This window comes from Homo sapiens, chromosome 3 (assembly GCF_000001405.40).
Source record: "Homo sapiens chromosome 3, GRCh38.p14 Primary Assembly".
NCBI lineage: Eukaryota > Metazoa > Chordata > Mammalia > Primates > Hominidae > Homo > Homo sapiens.
In genome coordinates this window covers 44526246-44539470 of record NC_000003.12, presented here as the reverse complement: position 1 = coordinate 44539470, position 13225 = coordinate 44526246, and the positions used below count along the sequence as shown (strand labels likewise).

General features: G+C 44.3%; 1 pseudogene, besides 3 other annotated features; it reads left to right on the top strand.

Moving 5' to 3' along the window:
• Positions 6300-6594: a silencer, noted in NCBI's record as "tiled region #15293; HepG2 Repressive non-DNase unmatched - State 12:CtcfO, and K562 Repressive DNase unmatched - State 12:CtcfO". NCBI's record gives its function as "represses a minimal TATA promoter and a strong SV40 promoter by Sharpr-MPRA in HepG2 and K562 cells {active_cell/tissue: HepG2 | K562}" and the evidence as "EXISTENCE:reporter gene assay evidence [ECO:0000049][PMID:27701403]".
• Positions 6300-6614: a biological region, named in NCBI's record as "Sharpr-MPRA regulatory region 15293".
• Positions 6486-6614: a silencer, noted in NCBI's record as "fragment chr3:44574349-44574477 (GRCh37/hg19 assembly coordinates)". NCBI's record gives its function as "represses an EF-1alpha promoter that drives an FKBP-Casp9 reporter gene in an ReSE screen in HepG2 liver carcinoma cells {active_cell/tissue: HepG2}" and the evidence as "EXISTENCE:reporter gene assay evidence [ECO:0000049][PMID:32094911]".
• On the top strand, positions 9970-10725 carry LOC100419748 (zinc finger protein 852 pseudogene; annotated as a pseudogene).

The window sequence follows — 13225 nt, the reverse complement described above, 5'->3', positions numbered from 1 at the left end:
AGTGTTCCCCAGGGTTTCCCTGACCTTTTCACTTCGTTTTTAACACCCTCCCTCTCTAGATGAGCTCACTGACTCCTTGCTTCACCCACCTCTCATAAGCTGATGATTTCCACATCTGTATATCTACTTCAGTGAATTCCAACTCCATGCATTTGTCTCCCTACTTGTCTCTCCCTAGATATCTCACAGACACCTCAAGCTCAGCACATCTCAAGTTGTATAGATACTGATGGAACAAATATTCATTTTGCACCAACTGAATGTCAGGCAGCGAGTTAGATGCAAGTAGGCTAGACATGAGCCCTTTGGGTGTTTGCAGTTTAGCAGGTGCAATAGGCAGGTTTTCTCTACTATACTGGCTTCAAACTGTCTTCTTCTGGTTCTGTTCATTCTCACCCAAGTGCAGAGTTGGTTGTTGTTGTTGTTGTTGTTGTGTTTTTACTTTCACAATTCCGTCCTTCTAGATCAGAGGTTCTCAAGCTCTTTAGTCAAAAACTCTTGACACCCCTAAAAACTATTCAGGACTGCAAAGAACTTATTGGTGTTCACTTATAAGTAAGATAGACATTTTAAAATATCCATTAATTCATTCAAATGCAATAATAACTTCATTATATGTTAGTATTTACATTATTTACAACATTTTAAAATGAAAATAACTGTATTTTTCAAAACCAAAGATTAGTTAGAAGAGTGGTACCATTTTACTTTTTTGTAAATCTCCTTAGAGACTGGTTAATGGGAGTTGGCTGGATTGCTATATATTCTTTTGCATTTAATCTGTTGGGATATGACAAATATGTAGCCTCTATACACTCATATGAGAATGAGAATAAGGGAGGAAAAGAAAATCTTAGTTCTTTAAGAAAATAGTTTGTGAAATTATTGTGAAAATAGTTTGGGCTTCACAGAGCACCTGAAGGGGTTCCAGGAGTCCCCACATCATGTTTTGAGAACGGCTTGCTCTCCAGAACACCAGGGCCACTTTCTTATTTTAGGCTTGCAGATGACCTAGACTATTGTAAAGGTGGTTTGTTACATAGGGTGGTTTGGTTGGGCTGTGCCTACCTCAGGTCATAGATGAATTCTCCCTTGTTGGTTGACCAAGGGCAGGCTGCAGGCAGCTGTCAAAAGAAGACCCTCAACAGTTGGCTCCTGGCTACAGGAGTGTGCACTTGAATTGTAAGGGGTGGTCTTGGGCCACTGACACAAACTCGTGCACTGGTGATGATAATGCATGCACATGTGGGAAGCTGGACACACTCCACATCTGTGTTCCACCTCCTCGCTTTGTGGTCTCCCCAGTTCAAAAAGTCCTCACAAAGGTCCTCCCTCCTCATGCTTCTTCATTTCTCCTGTGGTCCTCAGGTCTCTCCCCAGTCCCAGACCGAATCCCCTCTTATATTATTTTCTTTCCATTATAATGTTAATTTAAAAAAAATCACTTGTTCCTTTTATTGGCTTTTGTTAATCAACATCTTGGTTTTAAAAACTTATTTCTGATGTGCAGTTTTAGGAATCTTATTTGGATATTAGAACTAAATATTGTTTTATTCTCCTTGCGTTCCTGCTGCAACAATGCCAGATTTTTCCTGAACTGCCTCTAACTGAATAGGTAAGGGACTCCTACATGGCAGGATAGAGGGAAAAAATTAAGTCAATTAACATTTCAACTGATTATCCGCCAAACAGGGAGTTGCAGACTTCATCTCCCTGTCCCCATAAACCTATTCCTCCTGGGTTCCCCAGTCTGATGGATGGCCCCAATGTCTTTCCACCCAAACAGTGGCAACAAGGAGAATAGAAGTCAGATCTCCATTCATTCATTCATTCATTCATCCTCTCATTTAGCATAAGAATACTTACTATGTGCTGGGGATAGAATGGTGATGAAGAAAAACACAGGCCTTGTTCTCATACAGCTTACCTTTTAGTGGAAGAGATAAACAATAAACAATTTCCATTATTAAAGATACTGTGAAGAAAAACAGATTATAAGGTCAGAGATGGCTGATGCCAGTGTTGGAGTGTTCTCAGTACACTCTATAGCTCTCTGTAGCTCCTGGCACATTACCTGGCACCAGTGGTCATATATTGAATGAAAGTACAAGAAAAACAGATGAGCTCATACAAGTAAGGGTTAGTGAATGGGCCTCTGTGGCTGAGCTGTGTTTTCCCCTTCACTCCTGTACAAGCTGTTCTATTCTGACCTCCCTTCCACAGAAAACCTCCAGGTTTCTAGAATGGGATTCCAACTTAATGGCCTATGTAATTTTCAAAATAATAAAAAAAGGAAGGGTTTCATTGTTTTGGGCTAAATTCTAGGTACAGGAGTGGTGAAGATGTAAGACCTTGTTGAATTTTGGAAACTAATCTACCTTTATCGTGGTGGTTAATTTTACATGTCAACTTGACTAGGCAAAGGGTGCCCAGATATCTGGTTAAACATTACTTCTGGATGTGTCTGTGAGAGATTAGAATTTGAATTGGTGGGCTAAATAAAGCAGATGGCCCTCCCCAGTGTGGGTGGGCATGATCCGTTAAGGGCCTCAATAGAAAGAACAAAAAGGCACAGGAAGGTTGAGTTCTTGCTCTGCCTGACTGCTTGAGTTGAGATATTGATCTTCTCCCTTCCTTGGCACTCTTGGTACTCAGACCTTCAAACTCAAACTGGCATCCATACCATTGGCTCCCTGGCTTTCTGGCCTTCAAACTATGCCACCAGCTTACCTGGGTCTCCAGCTTGCAGTTGGCAGATTGTGAGATTTAGCCTCCATAATTGCATGAGCCAACTTCTTAAAATAAATTTCTCTCAGGGCATCTATATCTATATCTAATCTGTTGGTTCTGTTTCTCTGGAGAACCTTGACTAATACAACCATCCTTATGAGATTTTTGAAAAGATGTGGAGATGTGGCCGAAGGTCACTGAAGGCTTCTGATCTCCCACATGGTTTCTGTGTAGGTGGAATAAAAAGAGATCTAGAAGCTTGGGAAGGTGGTGAAAGAGGAGTTTTGGTGTTGTATTCTCTTCCTGGGAAATCTGCTCTAGCCCCGAGGTTATGAGAGAAGTTACTGCCTCAGGGTGATGACAGCAGCGAAGGAGTGAAGCAGGCCCTTCCAATGTGATGGCTGAGCCATGGCACCTTTGTGTGGAGCTGGCAGTGTTTAGACCATATAGCAATGTCACCACCTCTGAGATAATTCTAGTAAATAAGAACAACCAGCAGGGCTGTCCAGCCACAATGACTGGGCACAAGCTGGACTTGGAAGGTGCCAGGGACCCAGCACTAATGGGACTAAGGAATCCCCAGAACAGTTTCCTCTTGAGGAGAAACCATAATGCATCTGTACAGGATCATTTCTTGACGCTGTAACTCCTAATGTAACATTTCCTAATATTAGGAAGTGTGTGATCTTGGGCATGGGGAGTCATCTCTCTGAGCCTCAGTTTCTTCTATCTATAAAATGGGCATAGCTATACTTAGGTGGCCATGAGGAATAAATGGGACAACAACGCCAAGGAACCAAACACAATACAAAGTGCACAGTAAGATTCTCAACAAATGTTAGTTCTTTTCAGTTTCCCTTGTGTCTGCAGGCAGATGAACCCCATGCCAATTTCATTCAGTTATTGGAATGGATACAGCAACCATGCTTTTAAGATCTTGAAGTTTGAAAACCAAAGAGCTCTGAAGATCTCCCAGCTTCCCAAAGAGGGGGGGCAATGTTATTAGTGGGTTAGCAGGGTGACGTGCATGAATTGTGGTTGGGCTGGTGCCAGGCCTAAAGGGGTTGGCCTGGGAGGGTTCCATTGTTGTAGGGCTTGGGGGTGAGTTGTTCTGTCCAACTGGGAGTAATGCAGAGGAGGGGACAAGGAAGATCCCAAGTGAAAGGGGATGGGAGGAAGTCCCATTCCTCCTGGGAGCACTTTTGTAGCTGCTTGGTCTGGCTAGTCACAGCTGGAGGGAGAGCAATTCAGTCAATTTGACATTAATTCACATCTACCAGGCCTATTGGAAGGGAACATCTATTAAGACCAATTTGTCCTGGTCTCAATCACAGAAATTTAGTTTGCCCACACTAGAAAGAAAAGCAATGAACATTTTGGATTATTCCCAGGAAGATAGTCTGTGATTTGCAATAACATCATAAGGAAAATAATTTAAAAATATGGGCCCAATATGTTCTTTATTTGGCTCCCCTATGAGTCCTCAAACAGAAGCACCCCTGGGTGGAGTCAAGAGAGGCAACAAAGGAAAGGAGGTTTTGGGTTTGTAGAAATGCCTAAAGTCATCCTGCTCCAGTGCCTGGAGGGCACTGCAGAATCACTGGTGCTGCTGTTAAATCTAGTGCAGATGACAAGTTATGAGAAAGTGTATTTATGTTGCCTTATCTGTTACAGTGATTGTTTGGGGAAACCAGCCCCACACCACCTGCTACCCTGAGTCCAGCGGAGACAAAGGAGTTAGAAAGAGACAGAATAAGCGTTTAAAAAGCAGGTCCAGGGGACCTGAGCATCGGAGGCTTGCTCACAGCCCAGGCTCTGCCTGATTTATTGGTTTACAAGCTCTTTGTTCTTAGGGCAGATGGGAGGGGTAGGAAGGGATGAGGAAAAGGATTAATCAGTGAAGGAGAACTCATGAGTCATTCAATAATATGTGTAGCTGTGGTGGTTTCTGTGAATTTCCTTGAGCAAAGGCATGTGTCTAAACTACTTAAGATCTTTAACTTATCGGGACTGAAATGGGTGGGAGTGGCTTTCAGGAGGGGCCAAGATGTTTGATTATACTCCACTGCTTCAAGGGAGTGTTACCTCCTTGAGCAACTGTGGAATTCTGCTGAGTGGTTATGCTGTCGGGGCATAAAGACATGAAGGCAATAAGAAGACTTTTCTCCTCAGAGGCCGCCCATGGCTCCCCTTGGGTGTCTCACACAGGGAAGACCAACTCAGCTGGCACCGCAGAAACTCTCTTTCCCACAGTGATCAGTATAGCTGCCCAAAAGATACTGTGGATGGAAGGGCCAGCTGCCACATACCCTCCTGATGGAAGTACCGAGTACATTGGCCTGAGACTGGAGTCCTCTCCAATAGCCCACTGTCCAGCCCCTGGCCTTACCAACGCTCAGGACAGATTAGAAATGGACCGTAAGTCAACAGCACCCTCCTTTCCTCAACTTGCCACTTGGGTGGGCATTAGCTCATCCAGAGAATTTGATTTGGCAGATACCATGCTTCTTTTATATCATTTCTTTGCCACCTAATTTGTACTTATGATTGTAGAAATATAAGAAAATATAAAGAAGTAAAAGAAGAAAATAAAAAGAAATTATATTTCAAAGATAACCAGTTAAGCTTTGGTCTTTTTTAAATAGACATTTAAATTAAGGAGTAGTGCTAAAAAAAATACATAGAAGCACATACTTTTTTTCCTTACAAAACCAGATGGTGGGAGAAATGAAGCTCTGCAGGGCATTAGGTCAGATCTTCCTTTCACTTTATTGTAGAGTAGCCTCCACTGCAGGGAGAGAATTCAGCCTGGCACGTCACCTCATGCTATCCAGTGAACCCTGCCCCTCACAGAACACAATTCTGGTCACTCTGGGTGACAGAAGGGGACTTGTAGTCAGTTTCAGCTGCAGAAGGGGTTACTAGCCATGTATAGAACTTTTTTAATTCCAAGAAGTTATGATTTTTAGAATAACTCTAAACAGGCTGGGCGTGGTGGCTCACACTTGTAATCCCAGCATTTTGGGAGGTCAAGGTTGGCAGATCACCTGAGGTCAGGCATTTGAGACCAGCCTGGCCAACATGGTGTAACCTCGTCTCTACTGAAAGTACAAAAATTAGCTGGGCGTGGAGGTGCAGGCTTATAATCCCAGCTACTTGGGAGGCCGAGGCAGGAGAATCACTTGAACCTGGGAGGTGGAGATTGCAGTGAGCTGAGATCATGCCACTGCACTCCAGCCTGGGTGACAGAGCAACACTCCGTCTAAAAAAAAAAAAAAGAATAAACCTAAATATAATCCTAATGTTATACACCTTCCTGTCACCTTCCATCTTGGTGTGCACTTAACACCCCTGAACAGGTTTGACCAGCTCCTTAGAACCATAGTAAAAGACTTTACAATTTGAGAAGGGAACATGAAGAAAAATTTAATCTCATTTATCAAAGTAATACATATTAATCCTGAAAAAATAATTCAGAAATACAGAGGGTAAAAGCAGTCATTCTACTTTTGCATTTAAAAAGTTCTTTGTTGTTTTGGGTTTCCCTAGTATGTTTCTAAGGGGTGTGGGTTGGCTTCACACTCGTCTCTTTCTTTTTGTAGACCCATTTGCCTTATATATTTTAAAGCTGTGCTGATAGGTTCAGGGTGCATGTAAGTTTATGACAAATCATTCAATAGTTACGGAACGGTTGCTGTACACCAGGCACTGTCCAGGGTCCTGAAAAGAGTCAAGAACAGGATAGAACAGGCTAGAAGCGCCATCTAGTGGATGGTACTTGTTTTATACAAAATTTAGCCGGGTGTGGTGGCGCACGCCTGTAATCCCAGCTACTTGGGAGGCTGAGGCAGGAGAATTGCTTGAACGCTGAAGGCGGAGGTTGCAGTGAGCCGAGATCGCACCACTGCACTCCAGCCAGGGCGACAGAGCAAGACTCCGTCTCAAAAAAACAAAAAAGAAATAAATTGGACTATTTGAAGGAGAATCCTTAGTGTTCCCCCCTACCCCCATTTGCTCTCGCTGTCTCTGAGACAGGGTCTCACTCTGTCGCCCAGGCTGGAGTGAAGTGGTGTGATCATAGCTCACTGCATCCTTGACCTCCTGGGCTCAAGCTGTCTTCCCTCCTCAGCTTTCTGAGTAGCTGGGACTATAGGTGTGTGTCACCACGTCCAGCTGATTTTTATATTGTTTTTTTGTAGAGACAGGGGTCTCACTATGTTGCCCAGGCTGGTCTCAAACTTCTGGCCTCAAGTAATCCTCCTGCCTCAGCCTCCCAAAGTGCTGGGATTACAGGCACGAGCCACCGTGCCCAGCCTCTCAGTTCTCTGTTTTCATCATAATTCAACATTTCACAGATTAGTGTTAGTAGTCTATGTCATAAGAAGTTTATTTATAAAGGTAACAAATAGGTTGAAAGATAATTACAGTAATTCTTATGCTCCTATATTAACAAGTATTGAAAAACTTCACCCTCCTTTCTTAGGGGGTGCCATTTAAACTAACAGATGAATTTTAAAGGACTGCTATACCCCTGAAGGTGTGAGAAAGGAGCATTCTATGCAGTGGGAAAAGTTGCTGCAAAGGCTCAAGATGTAACTGATTGGGCTGATCAGGTGACAGAAGGGAGGCCACTGTGCCTGGATGAGAGTCACAGTGTCAGAGGTGCAGTCAGAGTTGGGCAGAGGCCTGCCTGCGGAAGACCATGTTGGCCAGGTTAACCAATTTGAAGTTGCTTGGGGGAGATTAATTTCAGTGTCAGGAGGCCAGTTAGAGCACCATTGCAGGACTACATTTGAGAGAAGATGGTGGCCAGGACTAGGGATGATGTGCTGTGGAGATGGAAAGAAATGGGTGGATTTACAATGCATTTTGGAAGAAGAATAAACTGGACTTGCTGATGTTTTAGATGTGAGAGGGTGGAGAATTAAGAGCAACTTCTAGACTGGGCGTGGTGGTTCATGCCTGTAATCCCAGCACTTTGGGAGGCTGAGGCAGATGGATCACTTGAGGTCAGGAGTTTGAGACCAGCCTGGCCAACATGGTGAAACCTTGTCTCTACTAAAAATACAAAATTAGCCAGGCATGGTGGTGTATGCCTGTAATCCCAGTTACTTGGGAGGCTGAGACAGGAGAATCGCTTGAACTCAGGAGGCAGAGGAGGTTGCAGTGAGCCGAGATTGTGCCATTGCACTCTAGCCTGGGCAACAAGAGGGAAACTCCATCTCAAAAAAAAAGAAAAAAAGAGTAACTTCTAGGTTTCCTGACTTGGACATTGTTCGACAACTTAGGGATTGATTATTGGTTTTTTATCAATATGAAATATTCCATTCTATGCCCATTAAATGCTTAGCCTTAGAGTCTGTTTTGTCTCATATTAATAATTCTACACAGCTTTTTCTCTTGTTGTTAGAACTTGCTTGGTGTACCCTTTTTCCTTCCTTTCTTTTCAACCTTTTCTATTGTTTGGTTTTATTGTAGGTAAATCTCTTGTAAAAAGTCTCCTCCCTTCTCTGTCTCCCTCCTTCCTTTTAATGAGGAAACATAACATGTTTGTATACATTGTGATTAAGGATAGACTTGGACTTTGTAACACTATATTAGTGTCTTTTATGGCCCATGCTTTCTCTCCTATATTCCTCCTTGTCTGCTCTTTGGTGCAGTAAAAATTGAGTGGAAAAACCAGAAACAGGGAGACTTAGAAGGCTTACACCCGTAGGCACACTGGGTCTTTCTAGAGTCACCTTCATCTTTTCTGGGCCCACCTCACATGCAGAGCTTTCTGGTTTAAGACACAGCGAGATAGCTCCCTCTTCATGGCCTGTACCCACTCCCCATTGAAAGCATTGTTTCTCATTCTTTCAAAGACTGTGTTCCTTTCAAATTTTTTTTTTTTTTTTTTTTTTTTCCTGAGACAGCCTTACTCTGCCACCCAGGCTGGAGTACAGTGGTGCAATCTAGGCTCACTGCAAACTCTGCCTCCCAGGTTCAAGCAATTCCCTGCCTCAGCCTCCTGAATAGCTAATTTTTGTATTTTTAGTAGAGACAGGTTTTCACCATGTTGGCCAGGCTCGTCTCGAATTCCTGTCCTCAGGTGATCCACCTGCCTCAGCCTCCCAAAGTGTTAGGATTACAGTCATGAGTCACCACGCCTGGCCTTGAATGTTCTTATTTCCATCCCTTGCCCCCATTTAATTATTGGGCCTCCCAGTCCAACAGAGAATCACTCCTCTTGTCCTGTATTAGAAATGAAATATTCTGATGAAGGATCCGGGAAGACTGACTCCTGCTCTGCCAGTCCCACTTCCTCCATGCTGAATTCCCAAAGGAGATCCATGCAAGGAACAGTAGCCTGTTAGGAAATGGAACTTACCAACTGTATCTCATCATTACTGAGTTGGTGCCTGTTTCCCTAATTCAGGCCCTCTGCTGAAGATGAGTTTGATGACATGACTCTTGGATGACCATAATTTATTGTCCAAACTGGGAAACTCTGTAGAATAAAAATGAGTGAAAGAAAGGGTCTGCCATTAATAATCATACCAAGAAACCATGAAGATCAGTATATGCTGTCCTGCTTTTTAGATCAGACTCAAGCAAGACTTCTACTGCCCTCTGGAGGCTGCAACCAAATCTCAGGCTATTACCCTCTGCCCTGTCCCATAGCAGAAGAACAAAGTCACAAAAAGAGAGGGCAATGAAGGTCCCAGCTTTAAAAGAAACATTTATCATGTCCACTAAATAAGGTTGGCCAGCTAATGTCTGGGACTCTGACTCATCCAATTAGCAACGGCCTCTCTTTTGCTGGGGAACTTTAGAAAGGGGGTGGGAAGGGCAGTTGTCAAAGTAAGCTTTCTCATCAGGAAGAGAAAACAGAGTTTTCCTCCCTGTACAGTTCTCTACTGTGAGAGTTCCTGTCTTGGCTTTCCCTCATCACCTGCTAGCCTTCCCTTGTTTGCTACCGAAGAGTTCAATTCCTTGTAGTTGGTTTGCTGACCCCATCTCCTTGGTGTGCTCTCCATTCCATCTTCTCTGCACTGAGTCTCACAATGGTCTCTGACCTACCCTCTCAAAGGGCCCCACTAGTGTTCTAGTAACTTTCCTGTATGCCTCTTGTATTTGCCTTTTCTATTCTTGGCAGAGGGTTAGAACAGAACTCAGAGCAAGATGTTGATTCTGGTTCAGAATATGATGATAAATTCACTGACATTAATATCAGGGGAAAAACAGATGTTTGAATCTGGAGCAGCCTGTGAAATGAAAAACAACTTAGAAAAGATACAGGGAAATCCTTTAGGAAAGAACATAAATAGCAAGAGATCTCATGTGAAAACAACTAAGGATTAAAAACAAAAATCTCCACAAGTTAGGGAGGCCAGAAATATAAGGGATTTGGACAAAGATTCAGTTCCAGCTCCAACTTAGTTCAACATCACAAGGTTTCCATAGAACGCAAAGCTGTAAATATGGTGAATGTGGTAGAGTTCCCCTGCATCTAGCTTTTCATCATTGAGAGAGAATTCACAGTGGGGTAAGGTTCTGTCAATGTGAGTGTGGGAAGTCCTTCACTCTGAGCTCTATCCCTTATGCCCCACCAGAGGAGACATTCTGGGGCTAGACTCCCCTGAAAGATTTGCCCAACTGTGGAAAATCTTTCAGCCAGATTTCATATCTTAGGCAACATCAGCAAGTGCATACTGAAAAAAAATCCTATGTATGTAATGAGCATGGGCAAGTTTTAACCTGGAGCTCAGCCGTTGCTGCCCATCAAAGAGTCTACATCAGGGAGTGCTCAATAGGGCCAGGGGCCTCATGGTGCAACTCAGGGCAGGGTTGGAGAAACCATTTGAGGGGCATTGAGTATGGGAAAGGCTGAAGTGGGCACCAGAGGCCGTGCCTGCATCAGCAACCACACTGGGGAGAAACATGTGAATGTGAGGTGTGTGGGAAAATCTCAGAGCAGAAACCTGACAAGGCACCCACACTGGGAGAAACCCTAAGGAAGCAGTGGGTCATGGCTTTGCCACTCTCCCTGCAGGCTTCTCCCCACTGCAGCTTCTGTGATGTGAGAGGAGACCTCTGACCCAGAGGAAGCCTTCCCCACACTCACTGCGCTGAGTGCTTCTCCCCAGGGGGATTTGCTGGTGGGCACCAAGAGCAGAACTCAGAGTGAAGGAATGTTTGCCCACCTTCACTACACACATAGAATTTCATTCCAGTGCATGATTTCTGACATTTCCTAAGGCCTGAAATCCGCTCTAAAGACTTCCTATAACCAGAACAGGTATAGCCTTCTCCTCTGAGTGACTCCATTGGTGGGTGAGCAGCAGGGATGGAGCAGAGGAAGAAGGCTTTCCCACACTTGCTGGAGGTTCTCTCCAGTGTGGAGTTTCTGATGCTGACCCAGGCTTGAAATTTGACTGAGAGCTTTCTCATGCTCCTCACCTACATAGAGTTCTCTGTGATTTGGATTTCCCGATGCCTCAGGATAGATGAGCAATGAACGGAGGCCAAGGTCTTGAGGTATCTGCAGACATCAGAATTGCTCCGCTGCCCAGAGGTAGTTCTAGGTGAGCCTGCTTGAAATCTGACCAGAAATGCCTTCTTGGAAATGACTAGCAAAACCATGCTTTGGGGATTTGCCCTTCTTTTTTTGTCAAAAGGTTATTTGGTCTCCTCACTATAAAAACTGGTTCAAGAGTTATGTTGGCTGGAAGAAACAAAGCATTTTGATCACATAAAGACAGTATAGCTCTTTCTCACTTTCCCATTAAGCAGTTGCTTAAATGATAGCAATAAAAGGGCCTTCAGAGTTGACTGTGGATACAATAATATGGGTTTTTATTTTTCTTTAAATTTTTTTTACAGACAGGGTCCCACTATGTTGCCCAGGCTGGTTTCGGACTCCTGAGTTCAAGAGATCGTCCTGCCTTAGCCTCTGAGTAGCTTCTGAGTGCTAGCTGACTACAATGGCACCTGGAGCCCAGCACAATAATAACTTTTAAAAAATAGCTTGGGCCAGGCGCAGTGTCTCACACCTGTAATCACAGCACTTTGGGAGGCCAAGATGGGCAGATCAACTGAGGTCAGAAGTTCGAGACCATCCTGGCCAACATGGTGAAACCCCATCTCTACTAAAAATACAAAACTTAGGCAGGCCTGGTGGCAGGCGCCTATCATCCCAGCTACTTGGGAGGCTGAGACAGGAGAATCGCTTGAACTCCGATCGGGAGGTGGAGGTTGCAGTGAGCCGAGATTGCACCACCGTACTCCGGCCTGGGTTACAAGAGTGAAACTCCATCTCAGAAGAAAAAAAAAAAAAAAAGCTTGCCCACTCCAAGTTTTAAGCTCATTGGCATTTCTCTGTCACAAACAAGAAACTTCAGAACTCTGAAGCATGACACCAAAGCCTCTCCGTGCTCTGGTTCACACCCTCTTTTCTGGCCTCCTATACCCACTGCCCCTCACCTTGTTCTCAGGGCAAACCTATCCACAGGAGATGAAATCTCACCAGAAGTTCCCGTTGGAACCACCAATCTGCCTCTGTCACCCATGCTTAACCAACTGAGAGGAAAGCAGCAACCACTCTTTCTGTACCTTGGGCTACATTTATAGGGCCCAGTCCTTTTACATCCCCGGTTCCCACTAACGATGCTTTTTTTTTTTTTTTTTTTTTTTGAGACAGGGTCTCACTCTGTTGCCCAGGCTGAAGTGCAGTGGTGCGATCACAGCTCACTGTAGCCTCGACCTCCTGGGTCCAAGCGATCCTCCCAACTCAGCCCCTCCAGTAGTTGGGACTACAGGCACGTGCCCCATGCCTGGCTAATTTTTGTATTTTATGTAGAGATGAGGTTTCGCCATGTTGCCCAGGCTGGTCTTGAACTCCTGAGCTCAAGCAATCCACCCACCTTGGCCTTCCAAAGTGCTGGGATTATAGGTGTGAGCCACTGTGCCTTGTCTGGTTCTTAACAATCTTTAATGTCAATGGGGGAAAGAAGAGATTTGGTCCTTGTTCCTCCAAGCGTGGCCCTCAGACTAACAGCTCTCCACCACCTGGGAGCTTGTTGGAAATACAGGCTTGTTGTGACACATTGAGGTGAAAAATAAAATTTTAAAAAGATAATAATACTAATACTAATAATAAGAAGAAATGCAGGCTCTGAGGCCCTACCCTAGTCCCACAGTATCAGAATCTTCTTTTTAACAGGCTCGCCAGGTGATTTGTTTGTACCTTCACATCTGAGAAGCACTGGTCTGGATGAAAACTTTTATTTACAATTCCTACTTCATCTCTAGGATCACTGATAGTCCCAAGGAGGAGAGATTGAGAAGCAAAGGGCACATAACAAGGTTAACGTCATCTCCTTGACAGCAACTAGCAGGTCATGCTGGAAGCTGTGGGCTCTAAAATCCCAAGGCAGAGGAGAAGGAAGCTGAAACCAGTGGAACCATTGGCCAGCCTTGGGGCCAAACATAACTGGGGGTGGAGCAGTTTTTT